The sequence below is a fragment of the Homo sapiens genome, chromosome 10 (assembly GCF_000001405.40).
Source record: "Homo sapiens chromosome 10, GRCh38.p14 Primary Assembly".
Classification (NCBI taxonomy): Eukaryota; Metazoa; Chordata; class Mammalia; order Primates; family Hominidae; genus Homo; species Homo sapiens.
Window position 1 is genome coordinate 5,925,325 of NC_000010.11, and position 21,603 is coordinate 5,946,927.

At 47.4% G+C, this 21,603-nt stretch overlaps 1 protein-coding gene and 1 long non-coding RNA gene across 27 annotated transcripts in view, besides 1 other annotated feature; one reads left to right on the forward strand and one right to left on the reverse strand.

The window, feature by feature from the left end:
* Positions 1–12,269, forward strand: part of FBH1 (F-box DNA helicase 1) — a 48,022-nt gene extending 35,753 nt beyond the window's left edge. For all 24 annotated transcript variants that reach the window (NM_001258452.2, NM_001258453.2, XM_047425892.1 and 21 more), the window contains 4 exons: positions 43–168; positions 2,111–2,217; positions 11,132–11,263; positions 11,786–12,269. In NM_001258452.2, the coding sequence (NP_001245381.1) occupies positions 43–168; positions 2,111–2,217; positions 11,132–11,263; positions 11,786–11,956 (536 nt within the window). In that variant the 3' untranslated portion in view covers positions 11,957–12,269. The remainder of the gene's footprint in view (positions 1–42; positions 169–2,110; positions 2,218–11,131; positions 11,264–11,785) is intronic.
* Positions 11,727–20,590, reverse strand: LOC105376384 (uncharacterized). 3 transcript variants are annotated; one of them, NR_188180.1, is made up of 2 exons: positions 20,331–20,590; positions 11,727–12,185 (listed from the first exon to the last, which is right to left on the reverse strand). It is a non-coding gene; the product is annotated as an uncharacterized LOC105376384 (long non-coding RNA). The 3 variants fall into 3 exon arrangements; NR_188179.1 differs by lacking the exon at positions 11,727–12,185 and adding an exon at positions 18,166–18,465; NR_188178.1 differs by lacking the exon at positions 11,727–12,185 and adding an exon at positions 18,166–18,591.
* Positions 19,791–20,349: an enhancer, noted in NCBI's record as "H3K4me1 hESC enhancer chr10:5987078-5987636 (GRCh37/hg19 assembly coordinates)". NCBI's record gives its function as "activates a minimal SCP1, AML or CMV promoter by ChIP-STARR-seq in primed H9 embryonic stem cells {active_cell/tissue: H9 hESC(primed)}" and the evidence as "EXISTENCE:reporter gene assay evidence [ECO:0000049][PMID:30033119]".
* Positions 20,591–21,603: the final 1,013 nt, after the last annotated feature.

Sequence of the window (21,603 nt, forward strand, 5' to 3'; positions counted from 1 at the left end):
CCTTTGAAGCACCATCTAACGTGTGCTGTGTTTTTATCCTAGAGTACATTCTGGGCACTGTGCACAAAGCCAAAGGCCTGGAGTTTGACACTGTGCATGTTTTGGATGATTTTGTGAAAGTGCCTTGTGCCCGGCATAACCTGCCCCAGCTTCCGCACTTCAGAGTTGGTAAGAGGCCGCCGGGTAGTGTCAGGTGCTGCTGTATGTAGTGAGTGGTGACTGGAATGCTTCCTTTGCACGGCCTTGTTGTTTGTTGGATGGTGTGGCCTCCTGGTAGGGCACTTCTGGAAAAACTAAACCACAAAACACCTCCTAGTCCTAAACTTTTGATTCTTATACTGTGGTTTTTTAAAAAACAAAACTTCCTCAAGGTGCACCCCTCTGGGGGCTGCGTGTGGGATGATGATGTTTGTGGCGGCCCTGTGAGCCCTGCACTGCCCTCAGCTCCAGGTTCTTCGCCATCAGACTTTGAGTCTCCAGCCTCATGAAAGCTTTAAAATATAGTTTACTTGCTTACCATGGCATTTTTTTCCTTTCATTAATTCCTCTTCATTTTATTAAAGAGAGAAGAAAACCACAAAAGGAGAAATAGTAAGCATTCTTTATCATTTGTCTGGTGTTTTTTGGTACAGACAGGGGTCTCACTATGTTGCTCAGGCTGGTCTCAAAGTCTTAGGCTCAAGCGATCCTCCCACTTCAGCTTCCCAAAGTGTTGGGATTGCAGGCGTCAGCCACCACAGACATTTGTCTGCTTTCTTGTTGTTGTTGTTATTATTATTCTTATTCTTATTCTTCTTATTATTATTATTATTTTGAGATGGAGTCTCACTCTGTCACCCAGGCTGGAGTGCAGTGGCACGATCTCGGCTCACTGCAATCTCCACCTCCCGGGTTCAAGTGATTCTCCTGCCTCAGAGTAGCTGGGACTACAGGCACGTGCCACCACGCCCAGCTAATTTTTGTATTTTTAGTAGAGACGGGGTTTCGCCATGTTGGCCAGTCTGGTCTCGAACTCCTGACTTCAGGTGATCTACCTGCCTTGGCCTCCCAAAGTGCTGGGATAATAGGTGTTAGCCACCATGCCTGGCCTTGTCTGCTTTGAAATAAATTTGTACTCAAGGCTACTTTGTAATAAATTTGTACTTTTAGCATCAGTGCTATTGCTTTGGTTTTAAATCTTAGAATAAAACTGTTTGAAATTTCTGTACAAACAAACAAAGCTGTCTGTTAACTGTGGACTGGAAATTTGGGGCCTAGCACACATCGGCATGCTGAAAATGGAAACCACAGTATTTGTGACCATTGGCAAACATAGACCATGGTTTGGAGTGGAGAGAGGAAGGGAGGCAGCCATGGAGAAGTTTACTATAGTACCACCTTTTCCCTGCTTCTGGTTTACATGTTTACAAATGTAATTTTTTTGGGGGACATGTAATTTACATGCCACACAACCCACCCATCCAAAGTGTACAATTCAGCAGCTTTTTGCACGGCCTCGGGTCTGCTGTTCTTTGTTGAGTTCCTGCCATTGTGTAGTGAATCGAGATGGGAGATGAGAGGTGCGGTTGAACAGCACAGACACACAGCACATAGCACACCTGTGTGTCTTCCTTGTTGTCCTGTGACAGTGTCAGGCTTTTCCAGATGGGACTCTGGCAGTCCAGAGACAGTGTAAGGAAATGGAAAGAGACGAGCAGACTCGGTCCTGCTCCCAGGCCCTTGATTAGCCATGGGCTTGTTTGTGGGAGTGACTTAACCTGTCTAAGCCTCGGTTTCCCCGTCTGTCTCACGGGCTTGTTGTGGGAACTGGCATAATGACTGTAAACAGCCATCTGTCACATCGCGGGTGTCAAATAACCAATTAACACATTCCCAGGATTTACGTAGCAGGACTAAATAAAACCCGGTATTTTGTGCCACTAGTCTGCTAGGATTTGGTTTGTTTTTGGAATTGGCATTTGTAGGAAAATTTTGTATTTACAGCCAACAAATGTTGAGTGGTTTTCTGCGGGGAATGGGTGGGGGCTAGTAAACATTTAGATGAGACATAAGGTTTTGTAAGCTTTTCTAAGGCTTTTTAGTTGATTTTTTTCCCCTTTACTTTGTTTAGAGTCATTTTCTGAGGATGAATGGAATTTACTGTATGTTGCAGTAACTCGAGCCAAGAAGCGTCTCATCATGACCAAATCATTGGAAAACATTTTGACTTTGGCTGGGGTAAGCAGAACGGGCAGCATGAGCTAACTTGATGCCATTGAATGTTATTTAGTCTGCTTGAGGGGCTGACCTGGAGCCTTCAGAGGCCTTCGGATCAAGATCCTGGGTTGGAAGAGAAACGCTGCTTGAACGTGCAAAGGCCGATGACCAGTATAAGAAGTGTTCTAACCAAGGAAACAAAAATGTGGTTCTTTTCTAAGTCATTTCCTAATTCAGTTTAAAAAGCTCTGTTTAAGATACCAGCAGTGGGCCAGGCACAGTGGCTTATGCCTGTAATCCCAGCACTTTGGGAGGCTGAGGTGGGAGGATCACTTGAGGCCAGGGGTTTGAGACCAGCCTGGCCAACATGGTGAAAACCCATCTCTACTAAAAATACATAAATTAGCCAGGTGTGGTGGCATGCATCTGTAATTCCAGCTACTCGGGAGGCTGAGGCAGGAGAAATCACTTGAACCTGGGAGGCGGAGGTTGCAGTGAGCCAAGATGGCACCACTGCCTTCTAACCTGGGTGACAGAGCGAGACTCCATCTCAAAAAAAAAAAAAAAAAAAAAAAAGATACCAGCAGTGGTCATGTATTTCTTAATTTCTCCTTTACTCAATTAGTTCTTTTTTTTTTTTTTTGGTTTGAGACAGGATCTCACTGTGTCACCCAGGCTGGAGTGCAGTGGCACAGTCATCACTCACTGTAACCTGGAACTCCTAGGCTCAAGCGATTATCTTACCTCAGCCTCCTGAGTAACTGGGACTACAGGTGCATGCCACCACACCTGACTAGTTTTTAATTTTTTTCTAGAGACGGTGTCTTGCTATATTGCCCAGGCTGGTCTCGAACTCCTGGCTAAAGTGATCCTCCTGCCTCAGCCTCCCAAAGTGCTGGAGTTACAGGTGTGAGCCACCTTGCTTTGCCCCTATTCTCAGTGTTCACAGGGAAAAATGCCAGGAAGGTTTTGTGCACCCAGCCTTCCTCCCTCTCACTCTTTAGTCCCTTTTGAAATGGCATTTGAAAAGTAGACTTTCCAGAAGAACACATCCTTGCCGGGGAGAGTAAGTGTTCAGGCACCTGGCCTTTGTCACAGACATGTGGAAAAGTGAGCTGGTCAGCACTCACTCTTTACCCTTCCCACAAACCATCTTCTCACACTCTACTTATTTTATCTCTTTTTCTGCCTAAACAGCTGGAGTATAAACCATTTAGTCTTTTCAACCCTGTCAGAAACTAGAACAGAAATTTGAGCTAATAGTTACTACTTAGTCCATCTTTCCCTGAACCCAAGATATTTAAGCCTGAAACCTAAAACTTAAGTGTAAAAGTTAATATAAATACTCTTTCTTGCTTAGCTGTCTCCAGAACAAAGATTGTGTGTAGCAGGATGGTTTATTCTCAGTGCCATATTGCCTACTCTCGTGGGGTGAGCCGCGCCGTACTGCCCTATGTGCTCTGGGGTTGAACCACAGGGTGCAGGCAGGGTGGGCGGTCACCACTTTTGAGTAAATGATATTCAACTCTCAGAGGTGTTAAGTGCAGTAGAACCCTGATGCTCATAATGGAATATTTATTGAGGGCCTAACACTTGCCAAGCACCTTTCTGGGTACTGGGGCATAACAGTGGGCAGGGAAATTCCTGCCCTCATAGAGCCCATCCAGGCGAGGAGATGGACAAGAAAGTGAACGAATAGGATTTTGAGGAAGATAATATCAAAACTTAAAAGAGAGAAGCTTTGCAAATAAATACTCTACATGACACATCACAGGGCAAAGGTTTCCTGCATAAAACTGATTAGCTTGCATGTGTATCCCATTTTTCATGCCTCCTTTGTCATTTTTCCTCCAGGCCTCTCTTAGGTAGGCTGACTTGGCCATAGGAATGTTTCCAGAATTTGAAATCTGATGCATTTTTCCCAGAACAGCTTTTCACCTGGGCTTCACCGAGTGCAACAGCTTAAGCGTCAGAGCTTAGAACTGAAGCCCTTTTTCTTTCGTTGCATCTTTAGCCACTAAAGCACATGGATCGTCTGTAGACTTTTTCTGTAAAGGGCCAGGCAGTAAAGATTTCGGACTCTGCAAGTCACATGATCTCTGTTGCAGCTACCCAGCCCCACTGCTGTAGTGCGAGAGCCCCTGTTGACAGTACATTAGTGAACAAGTATGGCTGTGTTCCAGTAAAATTAATTCACAAAAACGGCCATTGTCTGGATGTGGCCCACGTGTAGTTTGCTGACCTCTGGTTTAAAGAAAAGTGTGACTTTAAAAAATCTCTAAACCAGTACCCCCAGGAGTTAAGCAGAATAAATCATTATGTACAAATAGTCTCTACCTATACAAACATTTTTGTATAAACTTTGGTTTATAAGTACTTTTTTAGACCCTCCAGTATGGTTTTCTCATGGAAGTCGTGTTACAGAAGTGGTTAGGCCTGTCACAAAACCACATTGTCAATTGGTAGAACTGTGCAGGGTATTACAGAGCAGTGATATCATCTCACAACATGGGCTACACAGGACTTTTTGTTTTTGCTTATGAAAATTTTGAGACATTAAAAAGTAAAGAAAGCAATACACTGAACATTCATATACAAATCATACCTATATGTACACATCTCCAAAAAATATGTACTTTTTTCCCCATAACTACCATGCCATTTTCGTATTTTATAAATGTTATCATATGTGGCCTCTACTACCCGATCCATAATTATACTTTTATGATTGTCTCAGAAATGCCTTTTTACAGTTGATTTGTTCAAGTCAGAGTCCAAACCAACATTTGGTTGCTTGTCTCTTAAGTTAAATAGAGAGCTGTACGGGACTCCCTCCCTGCTTTTCCCATGCTCTTGTCTCATTGCATAAACTGGGTCATTCGTCCTACAGAGCGTCCCCATTCTTGGTTTGCTTCCCGGTGTGGTTGTGTAACTTGTTCTGCCATCATTACCTGTCCTGGCTTTCCAGTAACTGGAAGTTAGCCGTAGAGGCTTGATTCGATTCAAGCCTGAGTCTTGGCAGGCGTGCCCCATGGGAGGCCGGAGAGGGCTTCGTGCTTTGCCTCGTCACATGAGGAGGCTCACAGCCTCCTTAGGAGTAGGTTAGTTTTTCCCCGTTAGTGATGCTGATTGCTCATCTTTTGAAGAGGCACAGCTAGGAAATGTGTATTTTTGAAAAGAAAGAAAAAAAAACAGTGGTTCATACTGATAATCCCAATCCCAGTTTTTAAACTTTATTTGTTTCAAAGAGACAGGCTCTCACTCTGTTGCCTAGGCTTTAGTGCAGTGGCACGATCATGGCTTACTGCAGCATCAACCTCCTGGGCTTAGGCACAGTCCTCCCACCTCAGCCTCCCAAGTAGCTGGGAACACGCATGCACCATCACACCTGGCTGGTTTTTTTTTTGTTTTGTTTTTTTGTACAGACAGGGTCTCACTCACTATGTTGCCCAGGCTGGTCTTGAACTCCTGGGCTTAAGTGATCCTCCTACCTCAGCCTCCCAAAGTTCTGGGATTATAGGTGTGACACCAGGCAAATTTCAACATTTTGTTGTTAAATATAACACAAGTATATAAAACAGCATATAGCAGTTTAAAATGATGATGTTGTGAGCATCCACCAGATTAGAAGATGGGATCTGCCAGCCATCACGGAGCTGTCCTGGTGGCCCCTGGCCATCCTAGCACCCTCCCTCCTTTCTGAGGGTAACTGCCATCTCAGCAGATACGCATTACCTTGCTTTGTTGCACAACGGCACCTTTTTCTTTTTTCTTTTTAACCAGGTATGCAGCACCATCAGTAAGTGCTGAAAAATGATACTGTTTACACATGTTCTCTTCATTCTCCTGGGTTTCAAAAGCTGCACCGTATCTGCATTGTCAGAGGCTTTGGCCCTTCACACGTTCAGCCATCATAAATTGTGTTCCATAATCTAATTCACATTTAACACGAAAGGAATTTTACTTCTTTTCTCACACTTGAATCTTTTCTCATACACTGAAATCTTGGTTCCTAATAGTATTTATTACTTATTGATACTATTCTATGTATTTAAAAATAATATTCAAAATAATGCCAGTATTAATGGAATACTGACTGGACTTGAAGATTTCCTAACAGCTCCATTTCTCCATGAATGATGTATTTATTAGTCAAAATATCATGTTCTGAAGTCACTTAAAGTAAGTCCTTTTTGCTTTTGTGGTTTTATTACCAACTTAATTTGCAGTTAGACATGTAGTTTATTCATAATACCTACAGGGGTTGCTTTGCTTCTTTTTGATTTAATGATCTTTCTTGATGTGTAAGGCCTGTTAATGTTTTCAAAGTCAAAACCTTGCGCCTGGGCACAGTGGCTCACCCCTGTAATCCCAGCACTTTGCGGGGCTGAGGCAGACAGGTCACTTTAAGTCAGGAGTTAGAGATCAGCCTGGCCAACATGGCAAAACCCTGTCTCTACCAAAAAATACAGAAAAATTAGCTAGTCATGGTGGTGCATACCTGTAGCCCCAGCTACTTAGGAGGCTGAGGTGGGAGAATCGCGTGAACCCAGGAGGCGGAGATTGCAGTGAGCTGAGATTGTGCCACTGCACTCCAGCCTGGGTGACAGAGTGAGACCCTGTCTCAAAAGAAAAGATCAAAACTTTGTGATAAGAGAAGTCTCATTACCTCCCTGTTCACTTCAGACTGTTCTCTGCCTCCACCATTGGTAGTTATTTTAAACAATTAGCGATTAATCCTTCAGTATTTCTTTATGCAAGTATTAGCAAATTCGTAGGTATTTTCATATTCTCCTTTTCCACAGAAGGTAGCATTTCAGATACACTGTTGTGTACTTTGCTTTGTCACTTAGAAGCCATGGGAATCACTCTTTTATTTATTTTTTACTCTTTTATTTTTTGCCCTTTTATTCTTTTATTTGTTGTCCTACCCAAATTAGGAAATCCCTCTTTATCAGCTCACAGAGCTCTCTCGCCTCTTGGTCAGCTGCATAGTGTTCTGTGTTGACGCACTGTGATTTATGCCGTTCTCGCTCATGGACGTGGTCACTTCCAGCCTTTTGCTTTCATTAATAATGCTGCATTGCACAATCTTGTGCACAGGTCATTTCTGTTTTTGCCAGTGCATCTTCAGCATGCATTTCTAGAAGTGGAATTGCTGGGTAAAGATAAATGCAAGTGTGACTTTTCTGTTGTTTTGTTTTGTTTTGTTTTTGAGACAAGGCCTGGCTCTGTCACCCAGGCTGGAATATGGCGGCACAATCTTGGCCCACTGCAACCTCCGCCTCCCAGGCTCAAGCCATCCTCCCACCTCAGCCTCCCGAGCAGCTGGGACTACAGGTGTGTGCCACCACACCTGGCTAATTCTGTATTTTTTGTAGAGACGGGGTTTTGTCTGTTTCCCAGGCTGGTCTCAAACTCATGAGCTCAAGTGATCTGCCCTGCCTTAGCCTCCCAAAGTGCTAGGATTACAGGCATGAGCCACTGCACCTGGCCAAGTGTGACTTTTCTAGATGTTGCCAATTTTTTCATGGAGATTGTTATCACTTTAGAGTCCCACCAGTTGTATGCATAAGAGTGAAATAGGCCCGGCGCAGTAGCTCACACCTGTAATCCCAGTACTTTGGGAGGCCTAGGAGGGCGGATCACTTGATGTCAGGAGTTCAAGACCAGCCTGGCTAACATGGTGAAACCCTGTCTCTACTAAAAATACAAAAATTAGCTGGGTGTAGTGGCGTATGCCTGTAATCCCAGCTACTCAGGAGGCTGAGGCAGGAGAATCACTTGAATCCGGGAGGCAGAGGTTGCAGTAGGCTGAAATCGTGCCACTGCACTCCAGTGTGGGCAACAAAGTGAGACTCTGTCTCAAAACAAACAAACAAAAAAGTGAAGTAGACTTTTTAAAGCTGATTGGAAGGTTGTCAGTTGGTTGCTGCATGCATTTTGTTTTCCCCATAGAAGAAAAGAATACAGAATCTAGAGAAATACTTCCCCATTACTGAGACTGGGGTGGGCTGTCTGCCCTCAGGGGTCCTGCGAGGAAGTCCCAGAAAAACTGCCTATTTGTGGGAACAGATTTTTTAAGGCTGTAAGACCTTGTTAGAAGTGGAGGCACTCTGCTGTTTTTTTTTTTTTTTTAAAAAACAGAGTCTCACTCTGTCGCCCAGGCTGGAGGGCAGTGGTGTGATCTTGGCTCACCGCAACCTCGGCCTCCTGGGTTCAAGCTGTTCTCCTGTGTCAGCCTCTCAAGTAGCTGGTAGTACAGGTGTACACCACCATACCTGGCTAATTTTTTTTGGTATTTTTTTTTTGTTAAAGACGAGGTTTCACCATGTTGGCCAGGCTGGTCTCAAACTCCTGACTTGAAGTGATCCACTCGCCTCGGCCTCCCAAAGTGTTGGGATTATAGGCGTGAGCCACCATGTCCAGCCTTTTTTGTTGTTGTTGATCACAGCCTGTGAATAAATTTGGGGATATCCTGTTTCAGAAGTGTCGAGTCCAGTCTCTGCCCAGGAGGGAAGGCCATGGGGATAATGAAGATCCCGAGTTGGGCAGTAATTCAGAGGCTAGGAAAGCGTGTTAAAAATAGTGGAGCCACGGACGGGGGTGTTTTGGAGATAAAAAGCGAGCCATTGCTTCCTGCGCTGCCTAGAACGATAAGCCCCTTTATCTCCCAAGAGTAGGGCAACCTTCTTTTTCTTTGACCCCTCCCCCTTAGAAAATATAGCTAATAGAATCACCAGAAGCCATTTTGTTCATTTGTTTCTTTAAGTTTTGGGAAAGTGAAGGAAATTATTACATTGTTGAGGTGTTAAGTGACATGAAGTTATGTTTCAAAGACAGGTTTTTTTTTTTGTTTTTTTTTTTTTTTGAGATGGAGTCTCTCTCTGTAGCCCAGGCTGGAGTGCAGTGGTGCCATCTTGCTCGGCTCACCGCAACCTCCACCTCCCGGGCTCAAGCGATTCTCAGGCCTCAGCCTCAGAGTAGCTGGGATTACAGGCGTGTGCTACCATGCCTGGCTAATTTTTGTATTTTTAGTAGAGATGGGGTTTCACCCATATTGACTGGGCTGGTCTCAAACTCCTGACCTCAAGTGATCCGTTTGCCTTGGCCTCCCAAATTGCTGAGATTACAGGCTTGAGCCACTATGTCTGGCCAAAGACAGCTTCTTGGTCTCACAGAATCTTAGATTCTTTTTGTTTATTTGTTTAGATACAGGGTCTTGCTTTGTTGCCCAGGCTGGAGTGCAGTGGCACGATCTCAACTCACTGCAACCTCAGCCTCCCGAGTAGCTGAGACTACAGGTGTGCACCACTATGCCTAGCTAATTTTTGTATTTTTGGTAGAGACAGGGTTTCGCCATGTTGCCCAGGCTGGTCTCGAACTCCTGGGCTCAAGTGATCCTCCCACTTCAGTCTCCCAAAGTGCTGGGACTACAGGTGTGACCCCCACCCCTTAAATTTATATAAATAAAAACAGTTAATCTGGTGGGTTATGAGAGGCTTAAAAAGAGTTAAATGGCATAAAATCTAAAGAAATCAGAGAACACTGCATGTTAGGTTAAGTCATGTTTTGTGAAACTTTTCTTCCATGTGTGTTTCTTACATATGTGCGTATGTATAGCATTATAATGGTAACTGCGTCAAAAACGGCTTGAGAGCCTAGCCCTGGAGAAACTTCTGGAGTGGACAGGGAGTCAGGTACAGGATGTTCATTGCTGCATTGTTGGAAATAGTTTGGAAACAACCGAGTAACCACAGCAAGGGAATGGGTAAATGAAATACAAGAGAGCGCTGTGACTGAGTCCTCTACAGCATTTTAGAAAACCTAGGTGAGGAGGAAGCCAGAAGCGTAACATTCATGTAAATTAGACATCTATAAAAGGAGACCTGTGTCCTTGGACACGTGTAAACGAGAAGCTATTTCACCGTGGGTTGGAGGGACCTCGCCAGGTTCATGGTCTTGGCTGTCTCTCGGGAAGGAAATTGAGATGACAGTCCAAGGGACTTCAGCAAAATCTGTGACTTCAGACAGGATTTCACCTCGTCAGCTGTTAGTACTTGTTGGCCATAACTGGAGTGTTTGCCTGGTGGTTTTCTGTTCTTTTTCATAGCTGGTAGGCAGGCCGTCTAAGAGAAAAGACCAAATAAATCAAAACGTAGGTTACAGATTGTAGAATAAGTAGATCAATAGCTGGTCATAATCCAGAAAATACGAAACCGTCCTTTCCTGGGCAGCAGATGTGTGCGGTCCTGCTAGCATATCAGTCTGTGATGTGGAGCCCCACAGGGCAGCAGCGAAGCTGACAGTGCCCTGTCCTTGTGGTGTTTCCAGCCTGGGAGGTCACTAGTGCTTCCTCTGGGTGCTCCCTGCGTGCCAGGCGTGAGTGCTTTGCATGCATTGAAGGGTTTCTTCTCCTCAGCAGCCACCTGAAGCAGGCACCGTGCCATCTGCATTTATGGATAAAGACACAGGCTTAGCGAGGCTGTCATTTGCTCACTAGCACAGCCAGCAGCACGGGACGGTGGAAATACGCAGGGATGTTTGGGGCAAGTTTTCTTCATGTCCTCTGTGTTGCCTGCCTGGCTTATAATGTGAATACACAATAGTTTTCTGAAGATTGAGCTGGGGATACCTTAGCATAAAATAAAATCCAGAAATATTCTGGAAATGTCATTACAGGCAATAGTTTTGCATGTTTATCTGTTAAATATATATATATTTAAAAAGCAATTGGACTGTCAGTTGGACTGTCGATAGCTTTGGAGGCAGGGAAAAGTTAGAGGAAGTAAGGGAGAACGGGTTAGGCGGGGTTTTTCTCTCTGGGACTTACAGTGCATCTAAAGGGTTCTCACAGAGCCGCCGCTATCAGTGTTTCCAGTAGACCCTAACGGAGGTGTCGCCATGACTCTCTTTCTCGCTCTTTCTTTCTCAGGAGTACTTCTTGCAAGCAGAGCTGACAAGCAACGTCTTAAAAACAGGCGTGGTGCGCTGCTGCGTGGGACAGTGCAACAATGCCATCCCTGTTGACACCGTCCTTACCATGAAGAAGCTGCCCATCACCTATGTACGTCTGCTGTCTGTGGAACTTAATTCAGCCATTTGCATTTTTTGCTTGTGAGCTCTGTGCTTATCTGGGTTGTAGGTGAGGAGATAAGAGAGAGCTGTGTGATCCTTTATTAGGGGCTTTTCATATGAGAGGCACAAGAGGTGTGTGGTCTGTCCCAGGGTCAGAGGTCAGGGCACGTGATGCTGCCTGGCTGTGCTGAAGCCGCAGGTCTGGGAGGCTGGGTTGTGATACACGCTTAGAGAGAGAGCTGTTCCCTGGGGTCCCAGCGCAGCTTTTCTTGGTTCTTTATCTTGACTGGATAAATGACTGTTTCTGAGCTCAGGGAATTTGGGGGTGTTGAGGCCACCTAGTTGGTGGTGCTGTGGGAGGTGTTACTCTGAGGATGTGCACCCCTCTGAAAACATCAGAATCCAAATGCGTTGTCCCTGGGCAGCTGTGATGATAACTCCATGCTTTTTGCTGGAAAATCCATGTTCTTTGGTTGTTCCCCTTAGCTCTCTCTCTTGTCCATCACCACAGAGCAACAGGAAGGAAAACAAGGGGGGCTACCTCTGCCACTCCTGTGCGGAGCAGCGCATCGGGCCCCTGGCGTTCCTGACAGCCTCCCCGGAGCAGGTGCGCGCCATGGAGCGCACTGTGGAGAACATCGTACTGCCCCGGCATGAGGCCCTGCTCTTCCTCGTCTTCTGAGGACAAGGCGCACGTTCTCCGCAGTGCAGAGCAGCTTGCCGAGGACCCCGCGTGAAGAAAGCCAGCGAGGGGGGCTTCTGCTCCCTGAGACTCTGGGTTCACCCACAGCACTTTCTGAGGAAGAGGACACCAGCCCAAGCTGGACCTGCCATTTCTCCACTCCCTACAGACAGCCAGTCTCCACTTGCCTCCCCTCTGGATGTATCTGGTCAGGGAAGTGGGGGATGTTCTTTTGATAAAAAAAAAAAAAAAAATTTATGTATTTAAACTTTTATTACAAGATTTCAATTAAACAGGCACCATAGCACTGGCATACCGCTGTGTGATGTCTGCGTCAGCACTGTCGTTCTGAACCTTCTCTTTTTCCAGCTTACTCTTTCCTACAGCACTGTCACTGTTCACAAGACACAGGAAGCAGAGTATGAGACGTGATGTCTTGGGTGGGAACTGAGGCATCAAAAATGAGACTTTGGCCGGGAGCAGTGGCTCACACCTGTAACCCCAGCACTGAATCCAGCCAAGGCAGGAGGACTGCTGGAGCCCAAGGTTGAGGCTGTGAGCCGTGGTCACCTCACAGCTCACTGTACTCCAGCCTGGGTGACAGCGGGACACTGTCTCAAATAACAATAATGTTTTAAGGAGGTCAGATAAATTACAAGGCTAACAGGATCATAATCTCAGCAAGAAATGACCCCAGATGGGCTGGACCACAGCGCCTGTGGGGCCTGGTGAGGAGGGAACGGATGCGAAGATCAGTGGTTCTCAAAGTGTGGTTCCAGCAAGCAGCGGCAACATCACCTGGGAACTTGTTAGAAATAAAAATGTTCAGTCCCCACACCAGGCCTACAGGATCAGAAACTCCAGGGTTGAGGCCCAGCTGTTCGTACATAACAAGCCTGACAAGTGATGCTCATGCATGCTAAGTTGGGAAACTTCTGCTCTTGATGTTTAGAAGGTAGAATCGGTCGGATTTCTGGAGTACTGGGATCATGATAGGGACACTCAGTGGTAGAGGTCATCTTCACTGAGACAGGGAAAATGGGAGCTATAGCAGGTTTGTGTAAACGCAGTGATCAGTTTGGTTTTCAGCATGTTGAGTGGAACCGTCTAGGAGGCTGTTGGGTGAACACATCTGTCCTGCAGCAAAGGGCCTGGCTGGACCTGGGGACTTTATAGAGTTGTCGGTGTGTAGGTGGTGGTGCAGTTTGAAGGGTTTCGCCGAGTTAATCCAGGAGAGTTTAGACAATGAGAAGAGCAGAGGGCCGAGAAGCAAAGCCGGCGGACACGAGGCTTGGGGTGAAGAGAGGAAGAGGGTTTAAGAAGAGCGACAGCTGATCCAGAGGAGCCTCGTGATGGAGCACCACTGAGCTCCGGAGAGGAGGGAGTTCAGGAAAAGGGGATCTTCAGCATCCAGTGCAGTAAATAGACCAAATAAACAAGGGTGGGCAGGTGTTTAACCAGCACTATCAAGGTCAGTTGACATTAGCTGATCAGTTTCAGTTAGGTGAGAAGCCGACCACTGTGGCCTAAAATGTGAGTGAAAAATTTGAGGGCTAAGAAGTATGTGTTCATTTATGGTTTCTTTCTGAAGCCATACTGTAAGGGCAGTAAAAGTTGTGTGTGTGTGTATGTGTGTGTGTGTTTTAACCCTTAAGGGCAAAGACAACAGGAAGGAGGCAGCAGTGATCCTGGAGGCATCAGGATCATCAAACATCTGAAGATGACCCGGCCCCTAAGATGAAGGCTAGAGGTCAAAACCAAAGAATCAACTTGGAGCAAACTGTCTGTACAGGGAGAAGAAAACATCTAAATATCTTTAACACATTCAGAGAATGGAGGAGGTAGTGCATTCCATAGAGTAGCAGGATAGATATGTATAAAATAATATTTGGGGCCGGGCGCATTGGCTCACGCCTGTAATCCCAGCACTTTGGGAGGCTGAGGCGGGTGGATCATCTGAGATCAGGATTTCGAGACCAGCCTGGGCCAACATGGTGAAACCCTGTACTAAAAATACAAAAATTAGCCGGGTGTAGTGGTATGTGCCTGTAATCCCAGCTACTCAGGAGGCTGAGGCAGGAGGATCTCTTGAACCTGGGACGCAGAGTAAGACTTCGTCTCAAAAAATAAAAATAAAATAAAATTTTGGAGCAAAAAATATGAAAAGAAACCCAGTAGAACTGTTAAAATAATAAGTTGAGAATCTAGAAAGTAGAGCAAAAACAAAGATTGAGAAGTAGTTAGAGGCTGGACGTGGTGGCTCATGCCTGTAATCCCAGCACTTTGGAAGGCTGAGTCAGGTGGATCGCTTTGAGCTCAGGACTTCAAGACCAGCCTGGCCAACATGGCAAAACCCATCTACAAAAAATGACCTGGGTGTGGTGGTGCACGATTGTGATCCCAGCTACTCAGGAGGCTGAGGCTGGAGAATGGCTTGAGCCCGGGAGGTGGAGGTTGCAGTGAGCTGAGATTGTGCCACCACACTCCAGCCTGGGTGACACAGCGAGAGCCTGTCTCAAAAAAAAAAAAAAAAGAAAAAAAAAACTAGGGAACCAATTTAAGAAGTTGAGCATCTGTGAATGGGAATTGCAGGAAGAGAAAATGGACAACAGAGTTAAGGAATTTTTAAATTTAATTTTTTTTCAGACGGAGTCTCTCTCTGCTGCCCAGGCTGGAGTGCAGTGACTTGATCTCGGCTCACTGCAACCTCCACCTCCTGGGTTCAAGCGATTCTCATGCCTCAGCCTCTTGAGTAGCTGGGACTACAGGCACATGCCACCATGCCCGGCTAATTTTTTGTATTTTTAGTAGAGATGGGGTTTCACTGTGTTGGCCAGGATGGTCTCGATTTTCTGACCTCGTGATCTGCCCACCTCGGCCTCCCAAAGTGCTGGGATTACAGGCGTGAGCCACCGCACCTGGCCGAAACATTTTTTTTAATTATGAAAATTACCTGAAACTGATGGTAAGGGTTTCTGGATTGAAATGACTCATTAAATGCCCAGGACAATGGGTGAAAATAGGCCCACATTGGCCGGGCGTGGTGGCTCACACCTGTGATCACAGCACTTTGGGAAGCTGAGGTGGGAGGATTGTTTGAGCCCAGGAGTTCAAGACCAACCTGGGCCACATAGGCAGACCCCATCTCTACAAAAAGTATAAAAAATTAGGTGTGGTGGCGCATGCCTTGTTCCCAGCTACTTGGGAGGCTGGGGCAGGAGGATGGCTTGAGCCTGGGAGGTTGAGGCTGCTGTGAGCCATGATTGCACCACTGACCACCACAGCCTGGGTGACAGAGCGCAGGACGTAGCCTGGGGGGAAAAAGGCAATGATTAGTCCTCTGGAAGGCGACAGGTTGTGTAGGAGAGAACTGTAATTGACCCCCCCCACCACCAGCTCAGTGGAGTGTACCTGCTTTCATGGCCTTCATAAGGGTGGGCGTGTTCTGCAGGTAGGAGCTGTGTGCACATGTGGAGTGAACGAGCCGAATCTTAGCCTCTGCGGCAGGAAGTCAGTCACAGTGCCTGAAACTCAAACATGGAAGCAGAAGCCCATGTGAGCCCATCATTTAGAGATATCTTGGAGATGCATAACACACACCGAGACACTCAGCAGAAAGATTTCTAAAAGTTTCCTTTTGGGAGGGGGAACGGGCAGGTGGAGGAGCTTTTTGGTAGGTGTCTTACATAACTGTTGGCTCTAAACTATGTGTCTGTATGATAGAACCATAAAATACCAGTGGGAGGTGAAGATACGGACACCACGTAGACTAGTTCTCAGAAAGCAAGGCTGGCAAGAGGCAAGAAGTGGATAGGGGATGACGTGGCCTTAGGGAGGGGTTTTTGCTTTTAAAACGAGAGAGGTTTGTGCAGGGTTATGTGTTGAGAGGAAGCAAATTCAGAGAGGAGAGATGGAAGCCAGATGAGAGGGATTGGGACGGGAGAGATGAAGGAGAAAGGGGTACGTTGTAAGTGGTTAGGGAGGAAGTTTAGGTTGCTCTCACCCAATAATTTTCTGGTTTTTTTGAGACAGGGTCTTACTCTGTCACTCAGGCTGGAGTGCAGTGGTGCAGTGACAGTTCACTGTAGCCTTGACCTCCAGGCCCAGGTGACCCTCCCACCTCAGCCCCTCAAGTAGCTGGGACTACAGGTGCATGCCACCATGCCCGGCTAATTTTTGCTTATTTTTTGTAGAGATGAGGTGTCGCTCTGTTGCCCAGGCTGGTCTGAAACTCCTGGGCTCAAGCTGTCCACCTGCCTCAGTCTCCCAAAGTGCTGGGTTTAGCGTTTGGGATGGACATAGAAGGGAATGGAGTGGAAGGTGACGGAAAACACAGGTGTGCCGGGCAGCACCCTCCCAGTTGACATCAAACACCATCCTTTTAGCTGGTATTTTTCCTTTAGCAGCCCAGGCATGAGGGCAGAGACGTCGCATGGTGGACTCAGACACAGCTTAATAAACTTAAGGCAGTGCAGCACCCCCGTGGGACCTTCCTGCCTGGGAAGCTGGTCACTGTCACGCTGCCTGCCCAGCTTCCGTCCTGTAGTGGCATTTGGTCTGTGTCTGGGAGCAACTCACTGTATCACAAAGGGACTTTGACACCCCTAGAATCAGACTATTAGCAATTTAACATGTTTTTCAAGTCTGATCCTTGCCCTTCAGTCCTTCCTAGTCACCCTGAACCCCTGGCTTTAGCAATGTGGGGTACACCGAGAGCCTGGAAGCTGATCACTCTACATTTGCAGTGAGTGGGTGCGGTAGAGACGTCTGAACCGAGGCAGGCAGGGTTCCTCCAGCTCCTTGCCCAGACATGAAGACAGTGCTACACGCACGCCCCTGGCCAAGGCACCTCTGCACAGCTGGGCTGGTGTGGGGGGCAGGGCTCCCTTAGCCGGCAGGGGCTCTCCCTCTGCCTGGCCTACTTAAGGGACAGGTTCTCCATGAGGGCCCAGGAGGTGCCGTCCCCTGCGATCCTCCTCACTGGGGACCTGTGTGTGTTTTATCCCTAGTGGCGTGGGCTGAGAGGTAGGTTAGGTGGAGGGAGGGGGGCTTCCCACTCAAACGCCAAGGTCGCCAGTCGATCACTCCATTTGCTGTCTTCGTGACATCTCAGCCCTGCCATGTCCCACATGCAGCCCCTGATTTCCTTCCGAGCCTGGCTGGCTCCTCCACGCACCCTTCCCCACCTCCAGAAACAGCACCACCATCGGGCTGTGATACTTTTCTTCATGCCAGTTCACTGGGAAGCTCCACGCGGCCTCCAGGGTGCACCACCCACCCGCCCGCGACCCTCCACCGTTCTGCCTCCTGGACCAGTTGTAGTCTATGTTGCTCTGTGCCTCTGCCCTGGCCCAACTCGCTCCCATGTAGAGGGACCTGCAATCTTACAATGAAGACTAACGCCGGTCACCCTCCTGCCTCAACCCTGCAGGGCTCTCCTGTTGCGATGAGGGCGTCAGCCCAAGTTGGACCGCAGCGGAAAGGCTGGCGTTTCCTGTCCATTTCCAGGCTGGCCTCTGTCACCCTAAGCCTGTCTTTTAAAGGAACTCACTGAGGGCCCCAGGAAGCGGCCAGCACAGTGCTGACATCCTGGATTTTTCTTTTCTTCCTTTTTTAAATGTACAATTCAGTGGTTCTGATTTTTTTTTCTTTTCTTTTTTTTTTTTTTTTTTGAGACAGAGCCTCACTCTGTCACCCAGCCTGGAGTGCAGTGGTGAGATCTCCGCTCACTGCAACCTCTGCCTCCCGGGTTCAAGCGATTCTCCTGTCTCAGCCTCCCAAGTAGCTGGAATTACAAGCATATGTGACCACAACCAGCTAATTTTTGTATTTTTGGTAGAGACGGGGTTTCACCATGTCGGCCAGGCTGGTCTTGAACTCCTGACCTCAGGTGATCCACCTGCCTCAGCCTCCCAAAGTGCTGGGATTACAGGCGTGAGCCACTATGCCTGGCCTGAATTTTTTATTTTTTTTAAAGTAATCATTTTCCTAATACATGTCTTCCTAATCTGGACCCCACAGATTAAGAAATGCTTTAGTTTTTAATACCCATGGTATATTCTACTACCACTATGTGAAGAGTTGCAGTTAGAACTCTTCCAAAAGATCACATTAAAAAAAAAAATAGCATCAGCCTTTGGAGTCCAGGATGAACAATAAAATAAAAAATAAGTAGCATGGAGGTCACATGGAGAGAGCTTCACCAAGAATTGGCGACACCTGGTGACAGGTAACACTTTAATCAGCCTCACACACACATAATGGGGTCGGTCCCGCGTCCTCAGCCAGCTCCACGTATTTTAGAGTCTCTTACAACATCCCCACTTAATTGGCTGTGAGTGGCCCCAGAGCAAGGCTCTCAGGGGCGGGAAGCAGAAAGTGCTGATTCCACGGGCGTGCGGAGGAGGCTGGTGGCAGGGGCTCGGCTCAGCTGCTCCCAGGCATTCCTTCCTCCCCTGCTCATGTTCGGTGCCTCAGCGTCGCCGGGCAGGCTTCTCTTGGCCAGCCACCTGCAGGGCAGTGTCACGGGAGGCAAGGGAAGGGTAGGCTGGTCTTCTGTGTCTCTTAGGAGTGTGGCAGGCCGGGTCTCTCTTAGCAACCAGAGCAGCCAGCCTCACCAACACCTTACTATAACTCTGAGGAATATATAAATTAAACGAGGAAAATTGGAGAAACTGGTGCCTTAATACAAAGGCTAGAGTGTAAAAACAAGTCGATTAAGACCCCACCTGGGCTTTCTCCCAGACCTTAGAGTTTAATTAAAATAATGGAGGCGTTCTTGTGGACCTTGTACCATGATCCACTTTAAATTAAGTAATTGGGCCAGGAGCAGCGGCTCACGCCCGCAATCCCAGCACTTTGGGAGGCTGAGGGAGGAGGGTCGCTTGAGCCCAGGAGTTCAAGACCAGCCTGGGCAACATAGTGAGACCCTCCCTCTAAAATAAGAAAGAAAAAAAATGAAGTAATTGTTTCAAGGCTCTGAAGTAATTTTCCAGACCCCAGACCCTAGTGAAAGATTAAACAGAGGAATATACTTCAGCTTGGAGGTGTACTCCTGCACATAGGCATATGGTTTAAATGTGTATAAGCACTGAAAAAAAACTTATAATTTTAAATTAGTCTGGTGAGTTACTCTGACCTTCTCCCTGTAACCAGAAATAAACTCCCTTCTTCCCCACTCTGTCTGCAGCTTGTTATTGGACCATGAGAACAAGCAGCTGGACCTGGTTTTGTCTGGGAAGAGGCGCAAGAAAGCCTTTCCCACAGGCTTCTCCAGCTGACTCACATATTGTTGGTCAGAACTGGGCTACCTGCCCACTCCTAAGCCAATCATAGTAAGGAAGAATGGCTTCAAATCATCAGGGTTTTATTTCCTGGAGCTTGGGATGAGGTCAGCTTTCCATGATGCACACGGCTGGGTGAAATAATAAATCCTAAAAAAGTGGGAATGTATTTGCGAAGGAAGGGGCAGGTGCTGATTACCATGTAAGTAAATATACCTCATTAAGGAAGTGAACTCAACGTTTATTAGGAGCCTCCTGCAGGTAGACGCTATCAGGCCTTTGTGTATGTGAATTCCTTCAGTCCTCACAGCAAACCTGGGAGGCAGATGACAGCCGCCATTTGCAGATGAAGAAACAGGCTCTAAAGAGTCACGGGGCTGGGCCCACTGTGCTCAGTATCACAGAGCAGAGCTTGGATGAAAACTCAAGTTCAATCCCAAACCCATAGTATTTCCACTACCACTGTGTGAAGAGTTGGAGTTAGAACTCTTCCAAAAGATCAGTTTGTTTGTTTTTTTAAAGCATCTGCCTATGGAGTCCAGGATGAACAATAAAATAAATATTTAATAGCATGGAAGGCTTTCAGATGTTCTTAGCCATGGAATTCTTTAGGCTTAATTTTACTTCCAGTTAACAAATGCAGCCGCTGTGGTCACTCAGGAGGGGGATGGGCACCCAGAGTTCCTTCTCCGCTCCCGCCTGTGGTGGCCCCTCAGGTGCCTCTGCAGCCACCAGGGCTTCCCAGAACACTTGGAAAACACCTGCAGCCACTGCAGCCCCGGGACACTGACAGCAATTTGAGTACCCTCTGGGTGGCATTAACTCCAAGGAGATTTTGAAGATTACACCCCATTTTTGAATTATTTTGGAGACAAGAGTCCCACTCTGTCGCCCAGGCTGGAGCGCAGTGACGCGATCACCGCTCACTGCAGCCTCATGCTCCTGGGCTCAAGCGATCCTCCCACCTCAGATTCCTGAGTAGCTGGGACCCTAGGTGAGCCATGGCACCCAGTTATACACTTCTGTAACTAGGACTGTTGGCTCTCTGCCCAGAGGAATGAAGACACAGCTTCAGAAAGAGAAGCACTAACCTTCATGGTGAGGGCGTCCACCAGGAGGGAGTGGTTTTGCCAAGCGGGGACTTGAGGCAGACGGCCCAAGTTTCACCAACTGTGTTCAATCCTACGGGACCCTTGCTCTTTTTCAGTTTCATTTTCCTTCCAGTTACTGAGCAGCCCTCCCAGGACCCGAGGATGCAGGGCATGCAGGGGCGGCGCAGTGCTTCCCCGGCCAACCCCTGCCTTGCCGTCCGGTTGACCTGGCTGCCCAGCAGCCATGCTCTGTCTTTCCTGAACGTGTTGCTCAATTTCCTGTTTGGGTTTTTGCCTCCACCGCCCCCCCCCACCATTTAGAATGCTCCCTGCCCGTTTATTTAAATTCCACCCATCCTTCCAACTCACATCCTGCATTCCTCAAGCTTCCAGGCCTTGGAGCCATTTCTGCCTTTACTGGGCTCGTGTCCCATTAGTGTGTGTGCTTGTGGTGTAAGGTTTTGTTTCATATTTGTTCCGGTATGCTTCTCTTTTTGACCAGGCTGTAAACTTCTTGAGGATTAGTACCAGGCTTAACTGTCAGGATCTCTAGTGGCTAGCGAGGGGAGAGACAGACGCCAGGGTCTCCTGTGACCCTCACGCCTCTGGGAAGGGAGTGCATGTGCCGTCATCCCCACTACAAAGATGAGGCAATGTCCGTGTGTGTAGTGTCTCCAAGTGACAGGGCCAGCAAAGGGTAGAATGGATGCTCAGCAAAGGGTAGAATGGATGCTCGACACTCAGGCTTTTAAGTTCTATCTTCTTTCCACTGCACAAAGATAGTATTTTGCAGATGCCACATGAATAGCACCGATAATAAGTGTTATGAAGGCTCAGAGGCAAATGATTTTGTACAACTGAGTCATTAGCCAAGGCTCCGGGGCTGGGCATGGTGGCTCACGCCTGTAGTCCCAGCACTATGGGAGGCCAAGGCGGGTGGATCACTTGAGATCAGGAGTTCCAGATCAGCCTGGACAACATGGCGAAACCCTGTCTCTATCAAAAATATAAAAATTAGCTGGGCATGGTGGCACGCACCTGTAGTCCCAGCTACTCAGGAAGCTGAGGCAGGAGAATCGCTTGAACTCGGGAGGCGGAGGTTGCAGTGAGTGGAGATCGTGCCACTGCACTCCAGCCTGAGCGACAGAGCGAGACTCTGTCTCAAAAAAAAAAACCCTCCAAAACTGAAACAACAGAGGCTCCTGGAGAAGGTAAACTTGATCTGGTTCTGGAAGGTGAGTTGGATGTAGGAGACTGTGAAGGAAGGACAGGG